The sequence below is a fragment of the Homo sapiens genome, chromosome 20 (assembly GCF_000001405.40).
Source record: "Homo sapiens chromosome 20, GRCh38.p14 Primary Assembly".
Lineage (NCBI taxonomy): Eukaryota > Metazoa > Chordata > Mammalia > Primates > Hominidae > Homo > Homo sapiens.
In genome coordinates, this window is record NC_000020.11 from 5,584,687 (window position 1) to 5,601,364 (window position 16,678).

A 16,678-nucleotide genomic window follows, 5' to 3' on the forward strand; every position below is an offset into this window, starting at 1 on the left:
GCACAATTAAAATGCTTATTCTTATGTAGTGCATATTCTGAACTTGTCTCAAATGTAATTCTCCTCATATCCCAACTATTCACTACTGCCAGTTAAAAGCTTTACGAACAGCGTGAACTTACCTGTATGTACAGAGCTGTGAGGAACTACCAAAAGAATAAACGCTAGCACAACCCCTTCTCCTAACAGAAATTTCAACTCAATGAGAAAAGCTGTAAAACCCCACCCTTTGAGTAAAATACAATTTATCTTCCTGGCCTACTTCCCTTCCCAGTTTACTTTAAACGTTAGTCTGAAATACTTGCAAAATGGATGTGACAGTTCCTAGTAAAGATTCTCTGGTAAGTTTCACACAGCTTTTAAGTTCAAAAGTTATATTTCTCAAAAGTATACATTCCTTTCTAAAAGATAGAAACAAAATCATCCCACTTCTCATAATAAAATATATTTAACTGCAAGATGCTTTAAAATACAATTTTTTAAAACATTCAATACCTAGTAAGTTCCAACCTCAGTATGGGAATATTATAATTTTAAGTATACTCTCATAAAAATCCTAAATACACTATCAAAAATGTATTAAAACATACAAAAAGAAAATCCAATAAAGAGGATGGAATGAGATACTGTTTAAATGAGATGTGTCCTTACTCCAGGATAAAGCAGAAACTCCCACTGCTTTCTAATTTAAACCAGAAAACTGGCATCCAGTTATCTTTCAATTTTAACTTTACCTAGAAACTAAAAGATACATTTCTCAGCACTGAGTCAATTTACAGATGAATACATGTGGGTAATTTAATGTATGTGAAGTGAACTTCAAATTCGATTTTCAATATGGACTAAGAAATTCAAAAATACTTGTATGAAGAGAAATGCCATATTTAAGCATAAGAAAAGTTAATGTGTTTAAAAGAAAACAACTTACAAAAAAAAAAAGACAAAAAAAAAAAAGAAAACTTTCCAAGTAGCAATTCTAGCATAGCCAATAGGGAATTTAAGAAATTTGAATTCATTCATACAAGTTTATTCAAGTATTTACCAATTTCTCTTAAAAAAATTAAGAAGAAAAGAAAAAATAGAATAACTTACTCTATTAATATTCAAAGTTAAAAATTTAAGAATCTTTGTTTTGGATTAATTTTTTCTTCAAATGTTCGTTAAGCCTGAGCAAGTAAACAAATAGAGCTATGGATGCTCAGTCAAGAAGAATGGTATCTTATAAACTTCCTAACCATTCCAAATGAAAGTGAATATTTCATAATAAACTAATCTAACCCAAGAAAACAAAAATATCTAGGTAAATATTTCTAATAAAGTTTATTTTAAGAGGCAATTAAAAACTGTTGTTTTGAAAGATCCATGAAATGCTCAGTGAAATTTGTAGCACTGACAATGCATTGACCTTAACTTTAGAATAAAAATTTATTAAATCCCACTAAGCCATTGTGCAGCATATTAGTAACTTTATGCATATGCCTCAAACAGATGCAGTTAATGCCCATACCTAAAGGGGTTATTGATCGTGGTTGTAGATGAGTCTCCCACTTGTGAACTATCACTTGACATGGACCACCGATAGTCTGCAATTTAAAAGTTAAACGTCTGCAATAATTTCTTATATCTTATTTTCTACCCATGACTCCATTAGATGTTTGTGGCCTAAATCTTATACTAAATATGAGACCAAAAGATTCATCTTATTATCAATATTATATGCCAAAAGCCTGGAATGTACCAGATCACAAAACAAGATGAAATGCTGGAAGAAAATTAGAGTGAGGCAGTAAACAAAGAAAAATGAGATGAACTGGCACACAGAACTGTCTCAAACCCATTCCTAAATCTGCCTACAATACTCAATTGTTTCAAAGAAATTTTCATTTTTAACTGATATTAATTCTTAAGATAAATATCATATATACTTTCTTTGGTATGTCAGCCATCAATGAGGTATTGCTAGATAAAGTATGTACCTCCTGCTCTATGCATTTAGAAAAAGCCTAAACAAGCCTACAATAGTAAAAATAGTAGGAACAAGTACTCAAGAACAATTATCGCAAGCTACTCAAGGAACTAAAGAACCATAATAAAGTTATTTATTACATATATTTAAGAATACTAAGTGAAAAACAGGAAGATTTCTCATATCATAGGAACCAGTGTTTCTAAAGAACACGGGAAATTCTAGAAGGGACATGTGGCCAGGTAAACTTGAAGAGCAAGTGTGATAAAAGAGGAACTAACATCCGGTTTCATTCTTATGCCTTAGTTTAAAATCTCATACAGTGTGACAATTCCTCATACTGTTTTCCATTATCAAGCTCCCCTACTAAAAAAGAACATAAAGCTATGTGTTGATAACATATGCGGTAGTGAGTAACCATGAAAGATTCCCTGAGTATACCTAAAAGACTAAAATTTAAGTGTTCTAATTTTCCTTTAATTTTTAAAAAGAAACTCACTAGTTATTATGCTGAAATAAAACCCTTAAATACACATTTTGGAAGCACATTTTCAAACTATAATCTTACAAGGTATTTTATTTGTTACATAAATGTAATTAAATACAGAGAAGCAAAAAGAAAATACAAAACTCACCCATATCATACCATTTAGGGATAATCACCATCAAGATTTTCACATATAATCTTTGAGCCCTTTTCTAGGCATTATATTACACATACTCTTTTTTTTTTTTAGACAGAGTCTCACTCTGTCACCCAGGCTAAAGTGCAATGGCACAATCTCGGCTCACTGCACCCTTGCCTCCTGGGTTCAAGTGATTCCCCTGCCTCGGCCTCCTGAGTAGCTGGAATTAAAGGCACGTGCCACCACACCCAGGTAATTTTTGTATTTTTAGTAGAGATGGGGCTTCACCATGTTGGCCAGGCTAGTCTCGAACTCCTAACCTCGTGATCCACCCACCTCAGCCTCCCAATGTGCTGGGATTACAGGTGTGAGCCACTGTGCCCAGCCTATACATACTCTTAAAAAGCCTAGGCATAAAAGCTTCTCTATTATCTTTAGAAGGCATTAATAATGGATTAAAATATTCTCCTACACTTTCTATAGGATTTTAATATTGATTAAATTTGACGATAAGCCAAACAATAACAAATATGTAACAAATTAGGCACATTATTAATTATTAAATGCAATAAATAATCCTGTCACTTAAAATAACCAGGCTAAATTCTTTTCTGAAATCCTCAAACTTCTGAAGTTTAAAAACTAAAATAGCACGATATATTTCTTCAAATCATTACTCCTGGGATACTAAATAAAATTCTCTTTTTCTCTAGCTAAACACTTCCCTGCTATAATAGTTCACCTTAATTGGTAGACTGGGTAGATTTTTTAAAAATGTAATGTGAAATTGCTCTTTTAAAAATATGGTGACTTTCGTATCCATTATACTAAAAAGAAAATCAAATTAATTCTAGATGATGTTTACTATAACATTTTTCCTGAAATATTTTTTAAATGTGTTTTTTAAATATCAAACTTTCTAAACCTCAAAAGTTGCAAATATAGGACAGGCATGGTGGCTCATGCCTATAATCCCAGCGCTTTGGGAGGCCAAGGCAGGTGGATCACTTGAGGTCAGCAGTTTGAGACAAGCCTGGCCAACATAGTGAAACCCCATCTCTACTAAAAATACAAAAATTAGCTAGGTGTGGTGGCACACAACTGTAGTCCCAGCTACATGTGAGGCTGAGGCACGAGAATTGCTTGACCGTGGGAGGCAGAGGTTGCAGTGAGCCAAGATCACACCACTGCACTTCAGCGTGGGCGACAGAGTGAGACTCCTTCTCAAAAAAAAGTCGCAAATACATACATAAAAATAGAAACAGCCTGGGCACAGTGGCTCATGCCTGTAATCCCAGCACTTAGGGAGGCCAAGGCAGGCAGATCACTTGAGGTCAGGAGTTCGAGACCAACCTGGCCAACATGGTGAAACCCCATCTCTACCAAAAATACAAAAATTAGCCAGGCATGGTGGCACACGCCTGTAATCCTAGGTACTTGGGAGGCCAAGGCAGGGGAATCCCATGAATCTGGGAGGCGGAGGCTGCAGTGAGCTGAGATTGCGCCACTGCACTCCAGCCTGGGCGATAGAGCGAGACTATGTCTCAAAAAAGAAAAAGAAAAAAAAAAGAAAAAGAAAAGGGTGCTATGAATATAATATTAAATGTCAAAAAGAGGTAACGGCATAGCAGACTGTTTGTTTTGTTTTAATTCAGATGTCAGGGGAACTTTATAGACTGTTGATAGCAGTATCTTTACTTAATCAAGTAAGAATAATCCTTTGGATTAAATTTGATAGGGAACATATTTCAGTAGCAATTTTAACAACTCCAGTCTCATCTGCCCACTACCCCACTGCATAAAACCACCTAGACTTGAATAGAATAGCATATTTGAGGAACAGTCCAAAGGGCCAGGTAAACTGATGACAGAACTATGTCTATCATCATTCAGACTAGAAATGTACATTGGTTGGTAAACTGTTATAATATAGAAAAAAAAGAACCTAGTTTTAAAATACACTGAATTTCCAAAATTGTTAAGCCTACTTTATTAAACTTTAGAAGGCAATCTTAAATTTTCAGCTTTACTTCTTTAAAAAAAAATTAACAGGCCAGGCGTGGTGGCTCACGCCTGTAATCCCAGCACTTTGGGAGGTCAAAGCGGGTGGATCACCTGAGGTCGGGAGTTAGAGAACAGCCTGACCAACATAGAGAAACCTCATCTCTACTAAAAATACAAAAATTAGCCGGGCATAGTGGTGCATGCCTGTAATCCCAACTACTCGGAAGGCTGATGCAGGAGACTCACTTGAACCTGGGAGGCGGAGGTTGCAATGAGCCATTACACTCCAGCCTGGGCAACAAGAGCGAAACTCCATCTCAAAAAAATAAATAAAAACTAACAACTGAGCACTGGGAAATTCAAAATCTCAGTGATAACCCCAAAACATGCAATCCTTTCATTTATTTTTTAATCCTGGTCTCATTGTACATGCAATACTTTCTAATACATTATCTGTAATAACTTATTCTTTAAGATCTAAGAAAAGGAAACAGTTCTGAAACAAAACATTCTGGAAAAGTCTGCCAAAATTTTAAGCTTTTTGGAGTAACATGGGAGATAGATCTTTGGAGAAAAAAGTAATGATGTCAATCTAAGACAATATTCCATTAACAGTACTGGTAGAGCTATTTCACAATTTAGCATACATAATGTCACACGACTGTAGAAATGTTTCCAAACATGTATATTAACAAAAATATTTTTAAAAATTTCTTCCCACAAGAATAAGTCTTAATGATTGTTTTCTTAAACAGTTACTGACATCACTCAGTTATACCAAGCACTGAAATTTAAATAAGACTATCCAATATGTAGATTGGAAGTTTGTTTTTTAACAAATCACCAAGCAAAATTATTAGCTAGCCATGTAATATCACTGCTTGCATATATCACAAATTTTTAAAACTTTTACTGATTGTTTTTCTTCCACAATTTTGAAAACAAACTGAATGTAAAAGGGGGTCTGAGGAATCAAGGCCACGTGCGGTGGCTCCTGCTTGTAATCCCAGCACTCTGGGAGGCTGTGGCGGGTGGATCACCTGAGGTCAGGAGTTTGAGACCAGCCTGGCTAACACGGCAAAACCCTGTCTCTACTAAAACAATATAAAAATTAGCCAGGCATAGTGGTTGCATGCCTGTAATCTCAGCTACTTGGAGGCTGAGGCAGAAGAATCACTTGAACCCAGGAGGCGGAGGTTGCAGTGAGCCGAGATCGTGCCACTGCACTCCAGCCTGGGCGACAGAACAAGACTCTGTCTCAAAAAAAAAAATCTCTATTTTTAGTACAACCAGTAAAAGAAACAGTCACCTAGGCATGAGTAAAGCAAAGGAAGCTAGGCCAACAGACTCTCTGAGAGTATTCAAATCTCAAGTTAACACCTGACAGTATTTACTATTCAGAAGAATTTTAGATACTAATAAACTATTGTACAAAATGACAAACTAGACTATTCTGAAAATAATTATCTATCGCAGGTGACTGATTGTCTTGTTAAAGGAAGGACTTAAAACTCAAGGGAGATCGAGGTCAAAATAAGATAGTTTGTAATGAATCTAATTATGAGTGAATGTTAGCAGCTATGAAAGTTAGAAACATAGATATGTGCTGAAAAATAAAGATGTATTTCTACAAAAATGAAGGAAAAATTTCAAAGGATACAATGAAAAACTGGCTAACATTTGACTATGAGGAAACATCCCTAATTCTACCCACAAGCAAAGAGGGGTGGATACAGAAAAAAAAAAGTTGAAATTACATGTTAATTCAGAAAGTATCTTTGGTGAAGATGTGACATCAGTGGACTACCTGCAGATTCATACCAATGTTTTCATTCCAGGAATACTCACTACTTTTGTGTGCTATGTTCAAATAAGATACTATTTTGTTTTGTCATCTGTGAAATTATTTTAAAATGTAACACATTAACACCTTATCTTAATTCACAAAGAGAACACGTCATTGTGAAAAACTGAGAAAAACGATTTCAGGACTCTTCTAAACTAAAAGGAATATGCCAGAAAAAGCAGTGCATGGAAGAAAAATGAATGGTAAAATTTCATTTACTCAATAAAATTTTGCAATGAAAGGATCTAAAAATCTGTAGTTCAAACCTTTTGTTTTATAGATGAGGAGGCTAAAGCCTAAAGGTCAACTGGCTTGTCCATAATCGCAAAACTTTTAGCTTTGGTTCCAAAACTGCCTGGGTAGATTACCTCCTAAAACTTTCAACACAGTAAAATTAACCTTTCTCCCATTTCAGCTTTTTAATGCTTTCATTATTTGTTTTCCTATCATTCTTTATATTCGTAACATTATGTATTCCAATAATTTACATCATTTCACAATTTAAGATGCCTTGCACATTACTTCTATTATTTGACAATGTACAACTAGACAAAGTTTCATAATACTTCTATTAAAAATGTTTTATTTAAAAAGCGCCACCAACTTTTTTAAAGTGTCACATTAAGCTGGCATGTGGAGAAAAAAACTGTAGCCATATGCATGGGATTTTATGTAGCTATTTACTCGATTCCATGAAAAACATACTTACCATGGCAGCCCCTGCATCACACGGTACATGTGTACACGATACAGAGCACCTACTTAAAGAAACACACTCACCAACACATACTGTAAACTTTTGCAAGTATTACAAGGAGAAAAACTTGTTTTTACTGTTAAGCAGACTTCTTGCCAATTTTTTCAAAAGGTATTTTGGACTGATCTGCTGCTTTTGGTAACATTTTCAATGAAGAGGATAAATACTTAGGTTGGCTTAATTTGACCTGTGTTGACAATAGTCTTACTTTAGAAAACTATGCCCAAAGAACTCATTATCATCTTTCTCATCCAAACTCCCCTAAGTAAAATTTAGTTGGTTTCACATATTACAAAGCTAAATTTCATATACCAGGATCCTCAGGTAAACTTTCCATATCTATGACCTATGTATCTACACACAATTGCTTAAGTTATACTAAAGAACTTTACCATGATGCATAACCCCATGCCAAATAAATGAGATGCCCTTTTCTTAAGTTAAAGTGAAACTATTGTCAAGAAAAGCCAACACAATGATCAACCACAATGTAATTTAAGTTCAATTACTGTGTATTCACAAAATATTCTTGGAACAAGAAACGTAATAGGTGCAAAAGACAGCTAAAGTGGGTTTGTCATTTTTTGTCATTTTGTCTCTTTTCTTTGTATAATGGTGGCTAAGAGCACGAGGTAACAGTGGCTGCTTGCATTTTTCACACGTAACAAAAACACTTAATGACTCCCAAAGGAAATACATTTTTTAACAAGAGCTAATCCATGATTTGTATCCTAGACCCCTGCCTAAACCCTTGTTCATATGCAGCCCAAGGGTGTCAAATGTAAAAGTCTGAAGGAAAAGAATCCTTTCAGCAAATAAGTATCTTTAGAATAAAAGGAAAATGATTAACTTTTTTTCTTTTCTGAATATGAAAACAATCCCAAAATAATGAATTGTGAACAGGCAAATTTAGAATAGATATGCCAAAGGCCTCCAGAAAAGATAGGGGTCTTATCAATAACATCTTTGAAAAAATCTAAAAGGAATCAATTAAATTTTGATCAGAGTTAACACAGCCACTAAGAGATGGCTGCTGTGAAATAATTTTTTTAATTACTCACTTAAAACAGGCTATATACTTCTCTAAATGTATTTACATCACATAAGGATTAAAAAACAAAACCAAAAGTAAAAGCTCTGCAAGTGGTTCCTAACTAGTTTACAAAAGTTACCGAAAATGCACACTTACAGAGAACACATTAAAACCAATTTCATAAGAATACTGCAGAACATACTTACTATGTCTTTTTAAAATTCCATGGCAGACATCATCTGCCTCTGAAGTGGCTACTTCCTTGGTTTTGGTAAATTTTATTAATCAAGAGTTCTATTCCTTATTTGACCAAAGCAAATGCATTTTACTTTGAACGTGTTCAAACTTAAGTGAGTTGCTTTTGAAGGAAGTGCTAAAGGAATTGGAAACTAGATAAAGAAAACATACCTTTGGTTCTAAAAAGTACCCTTTGAAGTAGCGATACTGAACTGATACTCCTCTACTGAGTACAATGGTTGCTTTCCATAGCATGCTGTGAAGAAAGAAAATTAAAAGCAGCAGCATCAATATCAAACTACAGTGCATAAAGACTTCTTAATTCACAAAACTCCTCAAATAAAACGTATGACCAATATCACTTATTTATTCCTACACAAAATTTTACAGGCCTACTCTGTAGCAGGCAATGGGAACACAGGGGTATATACTGCAGAAAGAGCCTTATCTTCAAAGAGCTTCCTTTGCTGTGTGGGTAGACAGAAAAATAACCAAAGAAGATAGACAGAACGAAGTTCTGGAGGAGGCTTTTAAAAGGAAGGAAGGTTTTAATGAGGAAGCGCTGTCTGAGCTCAGGTCTAAATGATGAGAAGGAACCAGCCATATAAAGAGCCAGGATAAGTTTCCAAACAGAAAATTCAAGTTGTACAAAAGTGGAAGCCAGAGTCAGAATCTTCTGTGACTTCCCACTTAGCGAGGGATGTTACATGGCTGATAAGAGACTTTGGGTCGCAGCTTTTGTGTCACAAATGAGAGATAAACATGAGTTACACTCCTATTCTTGACTATCCGTTATTCTAAGCTGTCCTACCCAGGCTCTGGCTATTCCTCAGACAAGCAGTCAGAACCTGTATCTTGTTTCAGGCCAATGTCTTTCTCTGAACTATGTTATTCTAACAGAAACTAAAGATTTGACTCAACAGCTGCCTTAAGGTCAAGAATTCACTACAATTCATTACTGTAACTGAGTTTTAGCTTCAAATAATAAACTAGTGCTATCCACAGCATGGTCCCAGACCATCATTAGTAGCTGGGAGCTTCTTAGAAATGCAAATTCTCAGGCCCTACCCAGACTTATTGAATTAGGAACTCTGGGGGTGGGGGCCCAGTAACCTGTATTTTAACAAGCCTCCAGGTAACTTTTTTTTTTTTGAGACGGAGTCTTGCTCTGTCACCCAGAGTGAAGTGCAGTGGCGCGATCTCAGCTCACTGCAAGCTCCGCCTCCCGGGTTCATGCTATTCTCCCACCTCAGCGTCCCCAGTAGCTGGGACTACAGGCACCCGCCACCACGCCTGGCTAACTTTGTTTTTTTATTTTTAGTAGAGACGGGTTTCACCGCATTAGCCAGGATGGTTTCGATCTCCTGACCTCATGATCCAACCGCCTCGGCCTCCCAAAGTGCTGGGATTACAGGCATGAGCCACCAGGCCCGGCCGCCTCCAGGTAACTTTTATAAACACTTTGAGAACCCCTGTCATAGACCATTAACCAAACGTTAATTCAGCATGAGTAGTTTAGCCCTACCTGGCTCTGCTAAGACAGGTTTTAGGGCATTGTCCTTACTCTGATACAAGCTTAGCTCCTAAAATAAATACAGATATAGCTCATTGTATTGCACTTTATTATACTTCACAGATACTGTGTTTTTTACAAATTGAAGGTCTGTGGCAAACTTGAGTCGAGCAAGTCTATCAGTGCCATTTTCCCAACAACATGTGCTTACTTCGTGTCTATGTCACAGTTTGGCAAATCTCATAATGTTTCAAACTTTTTTGTTATTATTATATCTGTTATGGTGATTGCATGCTACAGAAAAATCTTTCATGAAAGGAACAGTTAATCAATGTAGTAAACTTCACTGTCTTATTTTAAGAAATTGACACTGTCCTTCAACCTTCAGCAACCACGACTCTGATCAGTTAGCAGCCATCAACATTGAGACAAAACTCTCCACCAGCAAAAAGATTGCAATTCACTAAAGGCTCAAATGATTGTATCATTTTTTAGCAATAAAGTATTTTTTAATTAAGGTATGTACATTTTTAAAAATCACTGCTTTAAACAAACCAACATGGAACATGTATATATATGTAACAAACCTGCACGTTCTGCACATGTACCCTAGAACTTAAAGTATAATAATAAAAAATAAATAAATAATAAATAAGTAAAAATCACTGCTTTAAAGCAAGAATAGCAAATGCTGCCAGGCGTGGTGGCTCACGCCTGTAATCCCAACTCTTTGGGAGGCTGAGGTGGGCGGATCATGAGGTCAGGAGTTCAAGACCAGCCTGACCAACATTATGAAACCACATTTCTACAAAAAATATAAAAATTAGCCAGGCGAGATGGCACAAGCCTGTAATCCCAGCTACTCAGGAGGCTGAGGCAGGCGAATCACTTGAACCTGGGAGGCTGAGGTTGCAGTGAGCCCAGATCGCGCCACTGTACTCCAGCCTGGGTGACAGAGTGAGATTCCATCTCAAAACAAAAACAAAAACAAAAACAAAAAAAGAATAGCAAATGCTTGACACATGTTCCCTATTTTTCCCCAATAAGCCTCAGAATCCTTTTCAACAGAGGTTTCCAGGTGGACTCTTCCAATTAAGAATAGAAAGTTGCCATTTCTGCTACCCCAAAAAGAAAAAAAGGGGGGGGGACAAATTCCCAGTACTACCTCATCTCCAAAACAGCCAGTTGGAGCATGTGAAACTAGCCCCACTAGTGCAGAGTAGAATTACTAATAAGCTGTGAAAAACGTGCTGCCGCCTCTCCCTCAGCCATTATTTCTCAATCTCCAGGAGCAGGATCTAGGTATGTGTATTTTTTTTCAAGTCCTCCCAAGTGATTCTAATGCGATCCCTGGTAAAGAACCACTAAATGAAAACAAGAGATGAAGAAGGCAAAGCAGTGAGTCTTTTTACTCCACTTGTCTAAGCAAATGTGGCAAATTTAAGAATGAACCAGAACCCAGGCATAGTGGCTTATACCCAGCACGCTGGGAGGCTGAGGCGGGAGGGCAGCTTGAGCCAGGAGTTCACAAACAGCCTAGGTCTCAACACAGTGAAACCTCATCTCTATAAAAAAATTTTAATGAGCTGGGCATGATGGTGTACACCTAGCTACTCGAGAGGCTGAGGCAGGAAGATCACCGGAGCCCAGGAGTTTGAGGTTAGAGTGAACCGAAATCGTGTCATCGCACTCCAGCCTGTGTGACAGAATGAGACCCTGTCTAAAAAATTTTAAAAAAAGAATCAGAACTATTTGGTGAACTAAAGACAAAATAATCTGATGAAATTAAATCAAAACCAGGAAAGACGGGTAGTCATATGGTGGTTTAGTGCAGCTGCCTAATTCTGAATTGCCCTTATATCCTTTCCCAAAATACCATAAAATCTACAAGGAGGGCAAATGAAACCACAAGTGACCCACATCTTCAGCAGTATTAGGAAACAATACCATGACCTTCAAGTTTTCTCTAAGCAGAAAAAAATTCCAGGAGAGCTCTAGCTGCCATGAGCCTGTGGGTAGGGAGAGCTGGTAAGAGAAAGCTTAAGACGCTCCCTGAAAGACAGGGGCACAGCAGACTTAGATGCAGAGCACATTAAAATTCCAAAGAAACACAATTTTAAAACTCACGAATATTGTCTAAAGGCACATGGATTCCTGTGTATCTACTCCCTTCTCCCTGTGAAACACTGTTTATCTGCTACCTGTGAATCAATTCTATTTCATTGTACATGCACAACATATGAACAACTGGTCCTCTTAAAATTGTTAAGTGTCTTATCCTGTTCACATCTTTTTGACCAAGTTGGCTGAAACTGACTTAGGACAGGCAGGGGTGTGTTTTAGAGACAAGTTCAGAAAGATATGAGGTTTCACTTCAGACCAGAGTGGCTGATCTGAAAATCGAAGAAAAAATAGCCACTTGAAGGAAATACTAGTCTGTGAAAGACTAGTAAAGAATATATACTATTAAAGTAATACTATTTACCAACAGAACTCTTATAAGGAGAGCTGAGAATTGGCTGAGAAAATATGTCATACTAGTGACAAACTAGAAAAAAGGGAGTTCTGTGTTTTTTAATTTTCTTTCTCCTAGCTTACATTACTGTTATTTTTTTACTTTCCTTTGTTATTTTCCGTTGCTTTACCACCAGTGCTCCTCAAACTATTTGCTGTGAATGACCAGCATTTTTTGTTTGCTTTACTCAACCTGTCTGGTGACCAATATTCTGATCTACATACCCAGTTCAATGAGATGTGTCCACAGTGACATGCATGGAGTCAAACTGCTATACACATTTCTAAATGCTTGCTCTCAGTTTTTGTATTTCTCACATCATGGATTGATTTTTTTAAAAGTCTTTTGGACTGGTACTGGTGCACAGGCCACATTTTAAGACATGCTGCTCTACAGGAAAATAGAGCCTTAGCAATCACCTAATCGGGCACTGGATATACTTGTATGCTATTTAGGAAAACCTATAACACTTCCAACTATCCACAGTGGGGTAAGTGCCACCTCTGCTGACATCCACTCATCTATGCTAACCCCTTTTTATCATGCAGATGAGGTAACTGAGGCCTACAGACATCAGCCGCCCAAGTTCACACTTAACTGCAGAAGAGTGGCTGACACCCAGATTTACCTTTCTCCATCCACTGTGCCCATACTAAGTTTACTGATGGATTCAATGCCACTAGTGAATACATTTCTTCATATTAGCTAAGCTATCTAAGTATGTGTTCCACTCTCTGCTCCTTTTAACACCACATACTTCAAGGAAATACTTTTATAGGCAAATACAAAAATTAGATCTCTTATCAAGAATATGTACTTACCATTAAAAAAAGAAATCAGAAAAAATTAAAAAGAAGAAAATAATATATAGTGACCAGACAAATGTTAATGCCTTAAAATGTTTCTTCAAATAAGAAAGCAAGGTGGGAGGATCTCAAGTCCAGGAATTTGAGATCAGCCTGGGCAACATAACCAGACACCACCTTTGTGCCAAAAAAAACCCCAAAAAACAAACAAACAAAAAAGTAATGCCATCTCCACACCAAAAACAAAAAACAAAAAAACAACCACAATTAACAAGGCATGGTCATGGGTGCCTATAGTCACAGCTACTCAGGAGGCTGAGGCGCAAGGATCGCTTCAGCCCAGGAGTTCAAGGCTGCATTGAGCTAGGATCACACCACTGTACTCCAGCCTGGGTAACAGAGTGAGACCCTGTCTAACTAATTATGGTGGTAAGTACCTAAAGAACCAGTCAAGAATTAAAAGTATATTCAATTATCCTGAGTTGTAAAAATAAAAAATACATCTAAAAAAAAAAAAAGAAATGAAAGTGGTTGAGAGGCAGGGATTAACAGTAAGAGAGGAACCTGTTTTTCCCACACAAATTTTGTAAAATTATTTCACTCATAAAACTATGCAACGTGATAATGTTGATAAAAATTATAACTAAAAGAAAAAATACCAAGATATCTTAAAAGCCCCTAACATCATAAGGTTAATGTCACAGTTATTCTGTAACCTCACATTTCCATACTCACCTTTCACCTGTGTCATTCTCTGGAAGAAGAGCCACAGCATTTTGAGGATTCCAGTTTCCCAAAGCATCACAGCTTCCACATATCGCAAAAACTTCTCCTAAAGAAACAGAACAATCAGTCACAGAGAAACAGAACAATCAGTCACAGTGGGATAAGCAGGGAAGTTTGCATTAGTTCAACCAGATATGCTGCCCCCTTTAGCAGAGATGAAAGAGCCTCACTAGATATAGGTTTGGGCCCAGGTACCTACCACTCACTAACACCTGCCAATTAACTCGACTCACCTTTCTAGAACCAAAGCCAGAGAAAAGGGGGAAGGCATACGGATGAAGTTTTCTTCATCTGTTCAACTACTCATTGAGCCAGTAACAAGAACCCAAGAGTACAAAAGGGATAAAACCACAGTCTCTGCTTTCAAGACAGCTTCCAATTTTAACAGACAAACACTAAATGCCTATCAGTACTCTAAAGGGTTATTAATCAATATTTTCTAGAAAGTCAAACAGTAGCTACTAATAAGTTTCACATCAAGAACATTATTAAGGCCAGGCGTGGTGGCTCACACCTGTAATCCCAGCACTCTGGGAAGCTGAGGTGGGCGTGTGGGGGCAGATGCCTGTAATCCCAGCTACTCAGGAGGCTGAGGCAGGAGAATTCACTTGAACCCAGGAGGCAGAGGTTGCAGTGAGCCGAAATCACACCACTATACTCCAGCCTGGGCAACAGGGCAAGACTCCATCTCAAAAACAACAGAAACAAAACTGTCAATGAGAGAGCAGAAATGTAATTAAAAACCCATCAAAACAAAGACTTATATAGTTGGAAAATCTAGTACTTCTTGGTTTTTGGAGATGGAGTTTTTCTCTGTTGCCTGGGCTGGAGTGCAGTGTCATGATCTGGGCTCACTGCAACCTCCACCTCCCAGGTTCAAGCAATTCTCCTGCCTCAGCCTCCCTAGTAGCTGGGATTACAAGTGCGCACCATCACAACCGGCTAATTTTTGTATTTTTAATAAAGATGGGGTAACCATATTGGCTAGGTTGGTCTTGAACTCCTGACCTCAGGTGATCTGCCCGCCTTGGCCTCCCAAAGTGCTGGGTTTACAGGCATGAGCCGCCGCGCCCAGCCAAAATCTAGTACTTCTTAACTAAGGTAATGTATCATTTCTTTTGAACACTTATCAATAGACTTTAAAAGCCAACATAAAGCTACCACCTCTTCTTGCTAAATTTTATATATTTAGCAGAACACACTTGGATAAAAGTACGTAGAAGTCTCTGACTTAAATATCAACACATTCTGAATACAATTAAAATTCATAAAGAAAAAGATAATGAACTGAGTCCAACTGCCAATTTGGCTCAAGACAGACTCCTCCACATTCTGAGAACAGCTGGGATTCCAAGCTTGAGGCACTGCTCTAGTAAGACTAGAATTGTACTCAGCTTTAGCCACCTGCATGAGCATTTTATTAGCTTGGACTATCTAAAAATTAACTAAAATTCCAAGTGTGACAGTCATTCAGATTTCAGGGCTCTAAATACATGTGGGCCGGGCGCAGTGGCCCATGCCTGTAATCCCAGCACTTTGGGAGGCCAAGGCAGGGAGATCACTTGAGGCCAGGAGTTTGAGAACAGCTTGGCCAACTAGCAAAACCCTGTCTCTACTAAAAATACAAAAAGGCCAGGTGAGATTGGCTCATGCCTGTAATCCCAGCACTCTGGGGGACTGAAGTGGGTGGATCACTTGAGGTCAGGAGTTCAAGACCAGCCTGGACAACATGGTGAAACCTCATCTCTACTGAAAATAAAAAATTAGCTGGGTGCAAGCCGGGTGCGGTGGCTCATGCCTATAATCCCAGCACTTTGGGAGGCCAAGGCAGGCAGATCACTAGGTCAGGAGTTCAAGACCAGCCTGGCCAACATAGTGAAACCCCATCTCTACTAAAAATACAAAAATTAGCTGGGTGTGGTAGCAGGCACCTGTAATCCCAGTTACTCAGGAGGCTGAGGCAGGAGAATCAATTGAACCCAGGAGGCTGAGGCTGCAGTGAGCCAAGATCACACCAGTGCACTCCAGCCTGGGCGACAGAGCGAGACTCTTAAAAAAAAAAAAATTAGCCGGGTATGGTGGCAAGCACCTGTAATCGCAACTACTCAGGAGGATGAAGCAGGAGAATCGCTTGAACCTGGCAGGTGGAGGGTGCAGTGAGCCAAGATCATGCCACTGCACTTCAGCTTGGGTGACAGGGCAAGACTCTGTCTCGAAAAAAATTTTTTTTAAATAAAATAGATAAAAACACAAAGTTAGCTGGGCATGGCAGCACACACCTGTAATTCCAGCTACTCGGGAGGCTGAGGAATGAGAATCACTTAAACCTGGGGGGAGGTAGAGGTTGCAGTGAGCCAAGATTGCATCACTGCGCTCCAGCCTGGGCAATATAGTGAGACCCTGTCTGTACAAAAAAAAATTTTAAGTAAGAATAATTTTAAAATTAGCCAGGCACTGTGTTGTGCACCTATAGTCCCAGTTCCTCATGAGGTTGAGTCAGGAGGATCACCAGAGTCCAGGAGTTTGAGGAGCTATGACTGCACCACTGCACTTCAACCTGGGCAATAGAGGGAGACCCTGTTAATCTTT

The 16,678-nt window shown here is 38.0% G+C and overlaps 1 protein-coding gene across 1 annotated transcript in view, besides 1 other annotated feature; it reads right to left on the reverse strand.

The window, feature by feature from the left end:
* The window catches only part of GPCPD1 (glycerophosphocholine phosphodiesterase 1), a 66,568-nt gene that overhangs the window by 40,248 nt on the left and 9,642 nt on the right, over nt 1-16,678 (reverse strand). Inside the window, exons 3-5 of the mRNA NM_019593.5 lie at nt 14,039-14,135; nt 8,641-8,725; nt 1,508-1,583 (exon numbers count right to left, since the gene is read on the reverse strand). Coding sequence (NP_062539.1) covers nt 1,508-1,583; nt 8,641-8,725; nt 14,039-14,135 — 258 coding nt within the window. The remainder of the gene's footprint in view (nt 1-1,507; nt 1,584-8,640; nt 8,726-14,038; nt 14,136-16,678) is intronic.
* Nucleotides 8,537-8,831: a silencer, noted in NCBI's record as "tiled region #4324; K562 Repressive DNase matched - State 5:Enh". NCBI's record gives its function as "represses a minimal TATA promoter and a strong SV40 promoter by Sharpr-MPRA in K562 cells {active_cell/tissue: K562}" and the evidence as "EXISTENCE:reporter gene assay evidence [ECO:0000049][PMID:27701403]".